The sequence below is a fragment of the Homo sapiens genome, chromosome 18, assembly GCF_000001405.40.
Source record: "Homo sapiens chromosome 18, GRCh38.p14 Primary Assembly".
In the NCBI taxonomy this organism is placed as follows: domain Eukaryota; kingdom Metazoa; phylum Chordata; class Mammalia; order Primates; family Hominidae; genus Homo; species Homo sapiens.
This window is the reverse complement of record NC_000018.10, coordinates 80,218,290-80,234,218: the sequence shown is the minus strand read 5'-3', so window position 1 is coordinate 80,234,218 and position 15,929 is coordinate 80,218,290. Positions and strand designations below refer to the sequence as shown.

The window sequence follows — 15,929 nt, the reverse complement described above, 5'->3', positions numbered from 1 at the left end:
GGCCTGACACTGTGCCAGAGGTCCAGGACATCGCTGTGCTGGGGCCCTTTGTGTACAATGAAAGTTGGACAATCTTTCTTGGAAAACGTGCCTGAACTTGACATGTGGAATGAAGACCTCACAGCAGCTTCACTCATGGTGAGCTGTGGACACCCGCAGGGCCAAGAGCTTCCACTCCACCTTCAGCCTGGGAGGTGTGCCTGGGTTGCCTGGTTGGCAGCTCATCCCTTCTACACTCGGAGGGTGTTCGTGAAGCCTTTGTGTCTCGAGGGCCGTCAGAGCACTGTGTGAATCTCTCCGCTCCTCCTAAAAGCCTGCCTGCTGAATGGGTGCATTTATTTTCTGTCTTATCACATCAGTACGCTTGTCAAAAGCTGGGTTATAAATCAGTCAGTTCTAAGGTGTGAGATCTCTCTTTTTGCCTTTGCTTCTGAGACAGGATGGACAGTACGCCTGTGCATAAGCCCTCAAGAGGCCCCTTTCTGGGGACCTGGGTGCGGGTGTGAGGCCCCTGAGGTTCCTGGTTAAGGCTGTGAAAGGAGTTTGGGGCTGTTACAGCTGTCATTTTTAGGTGATCAGCTGTTCTAGAGGATTTGGAAACAAAAGCAATGTTAGCACCTGTATCCCGTGGCTCAGGGGCCTCCCTGACTGGCTTTCCACCCACAGTCCTGACCTCATGCCTTGCTGGTGTCTGCAATAATAAGGGGGTGTTTCCTTGGGACAAAATAAACTTCTCTGGCTTCAAAGTGGTCCTTCATGAGGGAGAGGAAGTGGCACTGACCCCCATGGCCTGCAGTCACCTTGGGCCCATCAGCACCTGTACTGGTGCAGGGATGAGAGGGAGTGCAGGCCCAGCTGTGGGGACAGGCCTCCTGGGTCCTGTGTGAGACCCGCCGGTTCCAGTCACCGGCTATGCGGTGGCACATGAGTGATTGATGCTGAATGTTAAATCCTGTACCTCCTCAGGTGGCTTTGTTTTGTTTAAAAACTTTGCATGAATGTTCTCCTTTGTCAGAGGTAGGATAGTTTGCCTGGAAGGTGACACTGTGTGTCTGCATGGACAGGAGCAGCAGACATCAGAGAGATGCAATTGAAATAAATGGTATGTTGACGAAGCCCCACTCCACTCCTCAGGAGATGAGCAGCTGGGGTCCCTGCGTGTGTGGAGCTCTGTCCCTTGAGGGTCTCACTGTTGAGGAGGCCCCACTCCACTCCTCAGGAGATGAGCAGCCCCAGGTCCCTGTGTGCAAGGAGGTCTGTCCCTCAGGAGGGTTTACCTGTGAGCCCACACTCACCTGTCCTGCACCATGAGCTGGTAGCAGTTCCCCAGGGATGTGGCCCCGTGGGTTGTAGGAAGGACACCACTCAGGGATGGGCTGCTTCCTAAATGCCCTCATGCATCTTAGACCCTCTCCTCAGCTGCCTGAGCCTCTGATCCTGCCCATGAATGCTGGTGTGGGCGTGTTTGGCCTTGTGTCCAGTCTGTCTGGTGGAGATGGGGCAGGTGTAGTGATATGGCTTGGCTGTGTCCTCACCCAAATCTCATCTTGAATTGTACTCTCATAACTCCCACGTGTTGTGGGAGGGACCTGGTGGGAGATAATTTGAATCATGGGGGCAGTTTCCCCCACATTGTTCTCGTGGTAGTGAATAAGTCTCATGAGATCTGATGGTTTTATCAGGGGTTTCCACTTTCATATCTTCCTCATTTTTTTCTTGCTGCCACCATGTAAGAAGTGCCTTTCACCTCCCACCATGATTCTGAGGCCTCCCCAGCCATGTGGAACTGTAAGTCCAATTAAACCTCTTTTACTTCCCAGTCTCGGGTATGTCTTTATCAGCAGCGTGAAAACGGACTAATACATGCAAGGAGCACAGGCCCAGGACTGCAGGCCTGGCCACCTCATCCACTTGCTTCAGCAGCCCCGCAGTAGGCTTTCTGCAGTGGAGGTCAGAGTACTCCTGGTGACCCATCCCACCCACCCAGTCCCTGGTGTGGACACCACCTAGCAGAGGCCTGTTGAATTGTGTGGCTTGGGGGGCGGGGGCAGAACCTACCACTCTTTATCTCCACCCAGAGCTGCTGGCTCTGGTCACACTCATGAGCACAGCTTTTCACTCATGGAATTACTAAAAGGTTATTTCATTTTTTAAAAATGCCCTGAAAAACAGCTACCTGCCAGCAGTGAAGGGACAAGTGTAGGAACGCAGTGGCTTCTGCTCAGAGATTAGGGCTTGTGGTTCAGCTGCCGGAAGGCTGAATCTGCCAGCAGCTCAGGCCCACAGTGTGAGCCCAAAACAGGCTTACTATCCTGTGCTATTATAACTCCATACATGCAAGAGGTCTGCCTTTACTGTGCTTGCAACTTTGGGTTTTTGAGAAGGGCTCGGCAGCCATCCCTGTGGATGCCTGTGAGATGCCGAACCCGTCTCTAGGCCTGGGGGAGAACAAACAGCTTGGTGAGCAAGTTGAGCGAGTGAATTGCTCCCATTGGCTGGAGTCTCACTCGCTCACCAGGGCCTATATTGAACACAGGACATGTGTTCATATTAGAGTCTCACCACAACCCTGGGATGAATGTTTTTATCTATTTTATGAAGGAGGAACAGGATCAGAGAAGTTGAATAAATTATCCAGAGTTACACAGCCAGTACAGGTGAGGATTGGAACCCAGGTGTGTCCACTCAGAGCCTGGCTCTTTGCAGCTTTGCTATGTTGTCTGTCTGTATTTGTACAACTCCAGTGACCCAGCCTGCATCCCCTCAGCCGCTCCCAGTGGGCAGCACAGCTCGGATGCAGAACTGCCTAATTCCTCCATGTATCATGAGCTCACATCGGAATGGGACCCCACTTTCTTCCACGGGCTGGAGTTCGAGGCTTCTGCCTAAGTGAATTTACCTTTCAGGAAAGTCTTATGAAGGCAGGGACAGATGCGCAGCCTGTGCTCACGCCTCACACACTTGGGCCCAGGCCAACCCCCAGCACCTTTCCCCTGGCCCTACCTCTCAGCACTAGAGTCTCCTGAGCCCTTAGTTGCTTCTGGAGTAACCCTGGCCCGTTCATCCCACTCCCTTGCTGATGGGCCATCCTTGTCCATTCCCTCCATGAGGGGCATCCCCTCCCACCTGGGGTGTTCCTTCTCACAAAGGGCACCCCTTGTCCCTGACCTTCCATTTGGAATTCTCTCTCCCATCACTGTAGCTCTTTAGGTCTTTTCCAAATTCCCTTTTTGAATTCAGCCTCAGGTCCTTCATTTACTAGCCTTGTGACTATGGGCAGGTTATTGAACCCCTCTAGGTTTCAGTCTCCTGGTTTGTAAAGTGGGAACAGTGACACCTCCCTAGGGTTGCCATCAGGATTACAGAGAGCATGCACACAAAGCTTGGCAGAGACTCTGACTTCTCTCCTGTATGGTAAATCCCTTCTGGACGGAGACCATGTTCATAGACCTCTGTGTCCTCCACTGCTACCCCTCCCTCACTGCTACCCCTCCCACCTCCTACATTTAGCAGTGCTGGGTGCATTGGTCCAGAACACATGCATGAACCAGAATGGCAGGCCCTCTGCAGGGACTGTCTGTGCTCAGAGGGGCCACAGGGTACAGTGGGTTTAGCCGTCACCCTGCACAGTCTGGCATGATGCTCGTCTGGGCAGTTCTGCGAGTGCCAACGGCTGCACCATCATCACTCTGGATCTTGGGTGGACAGCACCTAGGCAGGCGCCAGGCTCCACCTCATCTGACTCATAGGTGTGTGGCCCGATTTTAAACCGTCCCAACGTGTCAGCCCAAGAAGTCATTCTATAGCAAACTACTGCCGAGTCCCACGCTCCAACAGGTTCCTCATTAGGATGACCGCCTGTATTTCTTTAAGACCTGTTGCACTCTCTTTTCCTACATGGAGTTCTTTCTGTGTTTCTTAGTTTCCTACAGGGCACAGATGTGCACAGGTGCTCCCCGGCTTGAAGGTCTGAGGCAGCTCATGTTTGCCATGCACACGCGTGAGATCCTTTACAGCTGGAATGCGTCTGGGCTTGGATGGTAGGCCAGCATCGCCATCCCCTCCCAACAGACCCTGCTGTAGGCCAGGGGCTCTGACAGTCTAAGGCGAGTCTCAGCCCCTGCCAGTGAATGGTTTAGAGCTGGGCATGTGACCCCACCCTGACAGTGAGACTTGAGGGTCTTCTTCCTCTGAAATGGTGACACTGTGACCCTATGACCCACCTGGATGCGTGGGGGAATGTGGGAGACACCTGAAGGCCCCCAGCACGTCCTGGAGCCAACTCCCTGTGTCAACACGTCCCTGGAGCATCTCAGACACACACAGTCCTGTTTGCCTGGCCGCCCACACTGCCCTCCTCATTCCTGGGGCTGTCCAGGCTCCTTTGGTTGTGCCATGGGATGAAATGCTCTCTGTCCTCACGCTTCACCCAGTTATTTCCACTCCTTATTCCCTGAGTTTAAATTAGGGCCTGTGTTTTACAGTCTTCATTTGCATCTCTCAGAGTTTGCAATTACATATTTGCATGTGTGGATTACTGTCTAACTTCTGGCTCGAGCAAACCATCAGCTACACGAAGACAGGTCAGTTGTGCAACCTTTAATGTGCACATGAGCCCTGACTCCCATGAGAGTGCAGATTTGGACTCCGGGTCTGGTGTAGAGCATTTCCAGCTGGCTCCAGGGAATGCTTCTGGTTCAAGGAACATCCTCAAGGAGCAGGAGCTAGAACTTTCTGAAATGACCTTGCCTGGGCCCAGCCCCAGAGGTCCTGACTTCCTTGGCCTGAGGGGGCTCCTGGCTCAGACAGGATTCCCAGCCCAGGGGCCTTGCCCATCTGCTCTGTTTTGTGCCAAGGTAATTTCTGACCTAACTGGGACCTCGCTGCAGATTCGGTGTTGTGTTTTTGTGTGTGTGTTTTTAAATTTACTATATTGTAAAGGCTTCCTTGAGCCCTTAAATCCTTTTCAAATACCACTTCTGGCCAATTGTGGTGGCTCACACCTGTAATCCCAGCACTTTGGGAGACCGAGGTGGGTGGATCACAAGGTCAGGAGTGCAAGACCAGCCTGGCCAACATGGTGAAACCCCATCTCTACTAAAAATACAAAAAATTAGCCGGGTGTGGTGGCATGCACCTGTAGTCCCAGCTACTCGGGAGGCTGAGGCAGGAGAATCGCTTGAACCCAGGAGGTGGAGGTTATGGTGAGCCAAGATCATGCCACTGCACTCCAGCCTGGGCGACAGAGTGAGACTCCGTCTTCTAAAATAAAATAAGTCCCACTTCTGTTAGCTTCATCATATCTCCACCTGGAAATGTGCTTTCATGTGTTTGATGCACTTACTGTTTCCATTTGTCACCCTTATAAGTATTTTGATGAACATTTCCTGTGGGAATCTGTCTCTGTTTCTGATCACCTGCAGTTGTTCACTGTTCTCACCTGTAGGCCTGGGGTGGGGGCCTTAGATGGGAGGCAGGCCCCTGGGGGTGTGAGGCAGGTCTTTGGTGGAGAAGGGCCTTAGGTGGGAGGCGCAGTCTGTGGGCAGGGGATGGGGCCTCAGTGGGCGGGGCCTTAGGTGGGAGGCGCAGTCTGTGGATGGGGGTGGGGCTTCAGGGCTGCATCTTAGGAGATGCAGTCTGTGGGCCTGGGGGCCAAGACCCTGTGGTGTCTGGGACCTTAGACGAGAGACAGTCTGCGCACCTTGGGGCAAGCCTGGGGTGGGCGGGCCTTGTGGGGGTGGGGACCCCTTGCAGACAATGTGAGCTGTAGGGGCACTTGGTGCCTGCGACTCACCCAGCAGAGCTGATTGAGGAGGCTGGGGGTCAATGTAGAGGGACCTGGGTGGCCTTGTGCATGTGGCCTGTGTTCTCCAGGACCGTGTGTCCGGGAACTCCCCTCCCCTGGCCTCCCCTCCGCTCACCTCCCCTCACCTCCCCATGGCGGCTTCCGCAGTTTTCACTTGGGGTCTCTCTGCTCGCTGCCGTCTCCCCCGTGGGATGTGACTTCCTGAGCACCAGGTCGGGCCCTTTTCCAGCTGTGCTCAGAGGCCTTGAAACCACTCCTCAGATGAACAAAGGTGGGGCCTGCCTCACGCTGGTCACCTGTCGTTTAGTAAATGTTTTTAGTATCTACTGTATACTGAGCTCTCTTGGGGATAAAATGGAGACCATATTTTTCTTTCACCGTTCAGCCCAGCACAGGAAAATACGGGTTCAATGAGTAAGTTTCTACCTGGCTCAAAGAAGTGAGTTCAAATTGAGACACGGCCACGCAAGAGAACACTTCTGTGAACCTCCTGGCCTTTCTGAAGCCCTGGTGGTCTGGTGGTTCCCGGGGTTGACGTCTCGTGAATGGTCTGAAGCCCTGGTGGTCTGGTGGTTCCCGGGGTTGCCCTCTCGTGAATGGGGTTTCTCAGATGCTCTTCTCTTTCTGGGGTCTGTTCTGCTGAAGGGAAGGATGTGGGGTGGGGAGTGAGTGGGAAGTCCTCAGACTCTCAGGAGAATCCACTGGCCTGCAACAGACGCAGTGCCTGCCTTGCAGTCGCCAGTGTGGAACACTACCTGGTGTGTGTGACCCAGTGGCTGCCACTCAAGTTTGACCAGAAGAAGGGAGCTGGTCAGAGCAATTCAGTGCTTCCTTCTTGAGTCATTTGGAAGCAAAGCCTTTTGCAAGAAAACACAGCCTTGCCTCTTGTCACCCGTGTGCAAGTATTTGAAACATTGCCTCCCTGTTTTTGTTGCTTGAAAACATCTTCACCTGCATGCTGACATTTGGCTCCAGATGGGGGAAGATTATGGCAAATGCAATGTCCACAGGGCCGGACTGGTGGGACTCATTGCTCTATAAGGGACATGGAACACATTTCATGACTTTGTGCTCAAACCTTGTCCTGTCTTTCTGTTTTGTGACATTGTCAGCCAATGTCAGTTTAATAAAATTCTAGAGTTTTATTTTAAAACTGGTCAAGCCAGGCCATGCCTGTCATCCCAGCAATTTGGGAGGCTGAGGCAGGAGGATCACTGGACCCCAGGAATTCAAGACTAGCCCTAGCTACATGGTGAGACTGTCTCTACAAATACATATATATTTTTTAATTAGCTGGGTGTGGTGGTTGTGAGCTTATAGTTCTAGCTACTGGAGAGGCTGCGGTGGGAGGATTGCTAGAGCCTGGGAGGTTGAGACTGCAGTGAGCCACACTGCACTGCAGCCTGGGCAACAGAATAAGACCCTGTCTCCAAAAAGCAAATAAACAAAAACTCTGGTCAACAGGTTTAATTCATTAATTCAGTGAAGATTCAAGTGCCTGCTATGTGATTGTAGTCAGTGGTAAGCCGCAGCAGTTTCCTGCCACTCGTAATATGGCAATTAAAAATTTTAAATTTGTGGCTGCTTGGGGTCTGGGAGGTGACCTGCTCCTCAGCAAATTTTGACTGATAAATTAATGCCTGGGTCTTCAGCCTGGTTCTTTGCTGGCCAGTGTGACAACAGTCTGTCACATCTCTGGGGGCACATTATAATTAACAGATGTAATCTTTCTCCGGTTCAGGGTCATCTGTGAATCAGGGGTACTGCCCCAGTAGAACTAGGAACATCCAGCAAAAGACTGTTTTCAAAATATACAATTAAGTGAAAAAAGCATGAAGTAGACCGGTGTTGGTAGTGTGCTACCATTGTTTAGAAAAGAGGGAAGATAGAGACAATTCACATTTGTTTGCTTTCGTATGCATAAGATATCTCTAGAAGGGCACATTAAAAGCTAAGTCTCAAGCCTGTAATCCCAGCCCTTTGGGAGGCCAAGGCAGGCGGATCACCTGAGGTCGGGAGTTCGAGACCAGCCTGACCAACATGGAGGAACCCCCGTCTCTACTAAAAATGCAAAATTAGCTGGGCGTGGTGGTACATGCCTGTAATCCCAGCTACTCAGGAGGCTGAGGCAGGAGAATCGCCTGAACCCAGGAGGCGGAGGTTGCGGTGAGCCAAGATCACACTATTGCACTCCAGCCTGCGCAACAAAGAGAGAAACTCCGTCTAAAAAAAAAAAAAAAAAAAAAAAAAAAAAAAAAAAACTGAAGTCATTGGTTACCTGTGGGGAGGGGGCTGGGTAGCTGGAGATTTCACTAAATACCTTTTGAATATTGAGCTATGTGGTTATATAGCCCTATTCAAACCATAAAGAAAAATATAACAGTGTATGATCCTAATTTTTAAAAACCATACATGTTAAAGAAGCCTGGAAGAATGTCTTCCTACACATTACAGTGGTTTTCTTTGTGGTGGGGTGATGTGCAGAGTTAGACATCCGTGTGTGGGGCCCTCGTGAGCCGGCCCAGAGATGACTAGGTGTGCTCTGATCTCCTTGTCCTCTGGCAGCACCTTGGGTGTCACACTAGACCTGGACTTTCCTCTTTGTATGTGTTGTACATGTGGGAGGGGGCATCTACATTGAAACTTGCTGGTTTCCCCAGGATGGCTACTTTCCCACGCTTCTCCAACTACTTCAGGCAACACTGTCTTGATTTGGGTGCAAAAGAGAAAAAGAATGCTTTTAAAAAACAGCAAGAGTATTTTGAGGAAATGACAAAGGACAATAGAAATGCAGTGTCAGAAACATTTGCCCTTCAAGTTTAATTTTGCTTTTTTGTGAAAACCAGCCTGAAGGGGGAGGTGAGCTGGGAGGGAATCGAGCCAGCACTGTGGCAGAGAGTGAGCAGGATAACTGTGAAGGGGACATTCAGTTGTCTGCCTCTATAAAGGGGATGCTACATCTCCCAAGTGGCTTAAAGATTAAAAATCATGTATGTGCATCTCATGCCCCAAGCAGCTATGAGAACTTTAACATGGCAATGGGCCTTTGCATGAGTGATGGAAATGGCCAGGAGCTTCCCTCCCTTTGGTTTGTTGAAGAACAGCACGTGGGTCCAGGCCCTAAGGGTCCTCCCTAGTGTGAAAGGACCTAGGTGACAAGAAAATACTGTTAAAATTCTCCTCTTCATTATTTTGGACCCTTTGTAAAGGAAAAGCAGACATGAGTCCAACATGCGGTGATGGCTGCTTCGTGCGTAGACTGAGAAACGGTGCCGCAGTTCCTTGGGGATGGTTCTGAGCCAGAGCTGCACTTTGATCAGCAAAAGCGTGACATCCTAAAGTTTTTTAGTCACTAGTAGCTGACTGAGTTTAAGATGAAACCAGCAGGGGACTATGTTTTCAGTGGTAAGAAGAATGCCTACACAGTTGGAGCACTGGGCCAGAGTCAGGAAATGAGGGTCTTAGTTCCAGCCTGGAATCAAGTTTCTCTGTAGCTTTTGGGCAAGTCTTTCACCCTCTCTGAGCCTTCAGTGCAGGGGCTTGGACTGTCACTTTCTTTTTTTTTTGAAACGGAGTCTCACTCTGTCGACCAGGCTGGAGAGCAGTGGCGCGATCTCGGCTCACTGCAACCTCCGCCTCCCAGGTTCACGCCATTCTCCTGCCTCAGCCTCCCAAGTAGCTGGGACTACAGGCGCCCGCCATCACGCCCGGCTAATTTTTTGTATTTTTAGTAGAGATGGGGTTTCACCGTGTTAGCCAGGTTGGTCTTGAACTGCTGACCTCGTGATCCGCCCGCCTCGGCCTCTCAAAGTGCTGGGATTACAGGCGTGAGCCACCGCACCCGGCCTTGGACGGTCACTTTCAATTGGGAAGCTTATGATTTAATTCAGGGCATGAAGACAGATATCCAGCTTTGAAGCACACACCAAACATGAGCCCTGTTTGTGCCGACAGTGAGAGAACCTCACATGATGAGGAGGTTTGTCCAGAACATACTGAATCAGGGCCCAGGCAGTCAGGCAGGCCAAAAGGATTTTGGATTTTTGTTTTAGACAGAAAAAGACTTTCATACCTTCTAGAGTCATTCATGCTCTGATTTGTTTAAACGTATGGTAAATTTAGATAGACCTCTTAGGTATCAAGAAAATTTTATGTTTGTAATATCTTTTAACCTGGAAGGTAAGACATAATCGTGTTAATGGTGATGAGTTATCCTTCAGTATAGAAGTTGAATAATGAAAATAGGTTTATATTGCCAGAGCCCTGTGACTCCAGAAATATCATTCATATACAGTTTTGGTTTCTGAATTAGAGAAGGAGGACTGAGGACTTTTGTAGTTTGGGGTCAGGGTGGAGACAGGCATGTGAGGGAAGGCAAGTTCTACCCTGTTCGGAGTGCCTGCCCTCTGTCCTCCTTACCCAGCCAACACTGTTGGGTCCATTTTAACTGGAAAAGCCAGCCCTGCCAGCTGGGTTGGACCAAACCTCATATCCTGTGCCTCCTCTGTAAGGCCCAGCAGTGATGAGGCATGAGCCTTCCCTGAGTTCTTAACTCTTCATCTTCTAAATGGGTTGTGTGCTTACAGCAGATGCTGGCCTCCCTTGGTCCCTTGGAACATCCTGTTTGCCTGGAGCAAAAGCAGAGTCTCCACTGAGTGCCTGCTGGTGCCGTCCTCGGGGTTGTCATGTTTCTGAACATGGCTTCTAGTTAGCCTTCAATTTCTGGGTCACATGGTAACTCAACATTTTGAAGAACTCCCAGACTGTTTACAAAATCATTTGCACCGTTTTACATTCCTAACAAAAATGTGTGAGGGTTAAGATTCCCACACGTTCTTATCAGCATGTTATCTTTTTTATTACAGCCAACCTGGTGAGTCCGAGGTAGTGACTCCTATGCTTTTGATTTTTTGGTCATCTGTGTATCTTTTTTGGGGAATGTCTATTAAAGTTATTTGACCATTTTTAATGGGGTTGTCTTTTATTATAGAGTTTTAAGAGTTTTCTTTTAATATGCCTTATCAGAGGCACAAGTCCCTTATCAGAGATCTGATTTGCAAATATTTTCTGTCATTCTATAGATTACCTTTTCACTTTCTTCATGATGTTCCTTGAAGCACAAAGGTTTTTAAGTTTAATGAAGTCCAGTTTATCTTTTTTTTCTTTTGTGGTTTCTGCTTTTGGCATCATATTTAAGAAATTATTGCCTAACTCCAGTAATGATAATTTAATTCTATGTATTTGTCTAATAGTTTTATAATTTTAGCTCACATTTAGTCTGTAATCCAATTTGAGTTACTTTTTATATATGGCATGAGGTAGAGGTCCAGCTTTATTGTTTTGCATGTGGATATGCAGTTGTCCCAGCACCATTTGTTGAAAAGACTGTTTTTTCCTCATTGAATTGTCTTAACATTCTTGTCAAAAATAAATTGATTACCAGCTGCAGTAGCCCATGCCTGTAATCCCAGCACTTTGGGAGGCTGAGGCAGGTGGATTGCTTGAGTCCAGGAGCTCAAGACCAGCCTGGGCAATATGGTGAAACACTGTCTCTACAAAAAAAATACAAAAATTAGCCAGATGTGGTGGCGTGCACCTGTAGTCCCAGCTACTTGGGAGGCTAAGGTGAGAGGATTGCTTGAGCCCAGGAGATGGACGTTTTAGTGAGCCAAGATCATGCCACTGCACTCTAGCCTAGGTGACAGAGCAAGACCCTGTCTTAAAAAATGAATAAATAAATAAATTGATGACAAATGTAAGGTTTTTTTCTGTACTCTCAATTCGGTTCCCCTGGTCGTTTATACGTCTCTATGTTAGTACTATGTGTAAGTTTTGAAATTGGGAAGTGTGAGTTCTTCAACTATGTTTTTCGTTTTCAAGATTCTTCTGGATATAGTGAGACCTTTGAATTTAGGATCAGCTTGCTGACTACTACAGAAGATACAGCTAAGATTCTGATGGGGTTGTATTGAATCTGTAGATCAATTTGGGGAGTATTGCTGTCTTAACAATATTAAGTCTTCCGGCTGGGTGCCATGGCTCATGCTTATAGTCCCAACACTTTGGGAGGCCAAGGCAGAAGGATCACTTGAGCCTAGGAGTTCGAGACCAGCCTGGGTAACATAGGAATGACTCCATCTCTACAAAATTAAAAAAAAAAATTAGCCAGGTGTGGCGGCGCATGCCTGTAGTTCCAGCTACTTGGCAGGCTGATGCAGGAAGATCACTTGAGCCCAGGAGGTTGAGGCTGCAGTGAGCTGTGATTGCACCACTGCACTCCAGCCTGGGTGACAGAGCAAGACTTCATTTAAAAAAAAAAGAAAAAAGAAAAAAATTAAGTTTTCTAATCCATGAGCATGAAATGTCTTTCCATTAATTTAGATCTTCTTTATTTTTTCAACAATATTCTGTAGTTTTCAATGTATAAATCTTTCACTTATTTTGTTTATTCCTGTTTTATCCTTTGTAATGCTATTGTTAATGGAATTTTCTTAATTTTTAGATTGTTCATTGCTACTGCTTAGAAATACAGTTTATTTTTGTATGTGGATATTGTATACTAAAATCATGCTGAATTCATTTATTAACTCTAATAAGGTTTTGTTTATGGATTCCTTAGGATTTTCTATATACAAATGCATATCATCTGTGAATAGAGATATTTTAACTTCTTCCATTCCAATCTGATGTCTTTTATTTTCTTGCCTTTCCTGGGTCGAAACTACAGTACAGTGTTAAATAGATGATGTGAAAGTAGACATTCTTGTTTTGTTGTTGATCTCGGGGAAAATCATTGTCTTTTAACCATTAAGTATGATGTTAGCGGTGAGTTTTCATAGATATTCTCTATGTAGGATGAAGAAGTCTCTTTCTATTCCTAGTTTGTTGAGTGTTTTTAATCATAAAAGAGTGTTAGATTTTGTCAAATGCTCTTTTTGTATCTATTGACATGATCATATGGCTTTTGTCCCTTTAATATTGTTTATTACATTGACTGATTTTGGAATGCTAAACCAACCTTGCATTCATGTGATAAATCTCACAGGTCATGGTGTGTGGTCCTTTTTATATGTTGCTAGATATGGTGTGCTAGTATTCTCTTGAGGATTTTTGTGTCTCTATTCATAACAGATATTGGACTGTAGTTTTCTTTTCCTGTAATGTCTTTTTCTGGTTTTGATATCAGGTGAAAGCTGACCTCATAGCATAAATTGGCATCCCTCTTATTTTTTGGAAGAATTTGTGAAGGTTTGATTTTGATTTTGTGAACACTTTGTATAAGTGGCCAGTGAAACCATCTGGGTCTGGACTAAGAAAAGTCCAGACCCAGATAATTCAATTAAACAAGAGATAATTCAATATCTTGTTATAAATTTATTCAGATTTTCTGCTTTTTGAGTCAGTTTTGGTAGTTTGTGTCTTTTTCTAGGAATCAGTCCATTTCATCTAGGTTATCCAATTTGTTGGCATACAGTTACTCATAGTATTCCTCTATGATCCCTTTTTACAATAAAATTTTATTTTAGAAAACTTTTAGGAGGCTGAGACAGGCAGATCACTGAAGGTCAGGAGTTCAAGACCAGCCTGGAGCCTGGACAACATGGTGAAACTCCATCTCTACTAAAAATACAAAAATTAGCCAGGCATGGTTGTGTGCACCTGTAATGCCAGCTACTTGGGAGGCTGAGGCATGAGAATCACTGCAACCTGGGAGGTGGAGGTTGCAGTGAACCAAGATTATGCCACTGCACTCCAGCCTGGGTGACACAGAGAGATTTTGTCTCAAAAATAAAAAATAAAAAAAAAACAAAGATTGCAGAGAGTTCCCATATACACCATACCCAGTTTCCTTTATTATTAACAACTAACATTAATATAGTATATTTGTTAAAATTAATACACAATACTGATATATTGCTATTAACTGAAGTTCATACTTTATTCAGATTTCCTTAGTTTTACCTAATGTCCCTTTTAACTTAATGATCCAAGATCCCATCCAGGATAACACATTGCATTTAATTTTGAGGTCTCCTGATATGGTTTGGCTGTGTCCCCACCCAAGTTTCATCTTGAGTTGTAGTCCCCATAATCCCCATGTGTTGTGGGAGAGACCCAGTGGGAGGTAATTGAATCATGGGGGCAGTTACCTCTATGCTGTTTTTGTGATAGTGAGTTCTCACACGAGCTGATGGTTTTATAAGGGGGCTTTCCCCCAACTTTGCTATGCTCTTCTCCTTGATGCTGCCATGTGAGGAAGGACATGTTTGCTTCCCCTTCCACCATGAATTGTAAGTTTCCTAAGGCCTCCCCAGCCTTGCAGAACTGTGAGTCAATCAAACCTTTTTCCTTTATAAATTACTCAGTCTTGGGCATGTCCTTATAGCAGTGTGAGAACAGACTAATACAGTAAATTGGTACCACAGAGAGTGAGGTGCTACTATAAGGATACCCCAAAATGTGGAAGTGACTTTGGAACTGGGTAACAGGCAGAGGTTGGAACAGTTTGGAGGGCTCAGAAGAAGATAGGGAAATGTGGGAAAGTTTGGAACTTTCTAGAGACTTGAGCTCAGAAGACAGGAAGATGTGGGAAAATTTGGAACTTCCTAGAGACTTGTTGAATGGCTTTAACCAAAATGCTGATAGTGATATGGACAATAAAGTCAGGCTGGTCTCAGATGGAGATTAGGAACTTGTTGGGAACTGGAGTAAAGGTCACTCTTGCTATGCAAAGAGACTGGCGGCATTTTGTCCCTGCCCTAGAAATCTGTGGAACTTTGAACTTGAGAGATGATTTAGGGTGGTATCTGGTGGAAATTCCTAACTAGCAAAGCATTCAAGAGGAACCAGAGCATAAAAGTTTGGAAAATTTGCAGCCTGATGATGTGATAAAAAGAAACCCCGGCTGGGCGCAGTGGCTCACGCCTGTAATCCCAGCACTTTGGGAGGCTGAGGCAGGTGGATCACCTGAGGTCAGGAATTCGAGACCAGCCTAGCCAACATGGTGAAACTGCATCTCTACTAAAAAATACAAAAATTAGCTTGGCATGGTGGCAGGCACCTGTAATCCTAGCTATTCAGGTGGCTGAGGCAGGAGAATCCCTTGAACCCGGGAGGCAGAGGTTGCAGTGAGCTGAGATCACGTCACTGCACTCCAGTCTGGGACAAGAGCAAGACTTCATCTCAAACAAACAAACAAACAAACAAACCCTATTTTCTGGGGAGAAATTCAAGCCTACTGCAGAAATTTGCATAAGCAACAAGGAGCCGAATGTTAATCACCAAGACAATGGGGAAAATGTCTCCAGTGCATGTCAGAGGTCTTCACGGCAGCCCCCTGTCATCACAGGCCTGGAGGCCTAGGAGAGAAAAGTGGTTTCCTGGGCCAGGTCCAGGGCTACCCTGCTGTCTGCAGCCTTGGCACTTGGTGCCCTGTGTCTCAGCCACTCCAGCCGCGGCTAAAAGGGGCCAACATACAGCTCAGGTGGTTGCTTCAGATGGTGCAGTCCCCAAGCCTTGGCAGCTTCCATGTGGTATTGGGCCTGAGGGTGTGCAGAAGTCAATAATTGAGGTTTGGGAACCTCCGCCTAGATTTCAGAGGATGTGTGGAAAGGCCTGGATGTTCAGGCAGAAGTCTGCTGCAGGGGCAGAGACCTCATAGAGAACCTCTGCTACAGCAGTGCGGAAGGGAAATGTGAGATCACAGCCCCCACATACAGTCCCCACTGGAGCACTGCCTAGTGGAGCTGTGATAAGAGGGCCACTATCCTCCAGACCCCAGAATGGTAGATCCACCGACAGCTTGCACTGTGCGCCTGGAAAAGCCACAGACACTCAATACCAGCCCATGAAAGCAACCAGGAGGGGAGCCGTACCTGACAAAGCCACAGGGGCAGAGCTGCCCAAGGCCATGGGAGCCTACCTCTTGCATCAGTGTGACCTAAATGTGAGACATGGAGTCAAAGGAGATCGTTTTGGAACTTTAAGTTTAGTGACTGCCCTGTCAGATTTCAGACTTGCATGGGGCCTGTAGCCCTTTTGTTTTGGCCAATTTCTCCTGTTTGGAATGGGTGTATTTACCCAATGCCTGTACCTCCATTGTATCTAGGATGTAACTAACTTA

The 15,929-nt window shown here is 47.4% G+C and overlaps 1 protein-coding gene across 1 annotated transcript in view, besides 1 other annotated feature; it reads left to right on the top strand.

The window, feature by feature from the left end:
- Window positions 1-15,929, top strand: part of PARD6G (par-6 family cell polarity regulator gamma) — a 90,283-nt gene that overhangs the window by 13,296 nt on the left and 61,058 nt on the right. The gene's annotated exons all lie outside the window — the stretch shown is intronic.
- Window positions 5,932-6,433: an enhancer, noted in NCBI's record as "H3K4me1 hESC enhancer chr18:77985669-77986170 (GRCh37/hg19 assembly coordinates)". NCBI's record gives its function as "activates a minimal SCP1, AML or CMV promoter by ChIP-STARR-seq in primed H9 embryonic stem cells {active_cell/tissue: H9 hESC(primed)}" and the evidence as "EXISTENCE:reporter gene assay evidence [ECO:0000049][PMID:30033119]".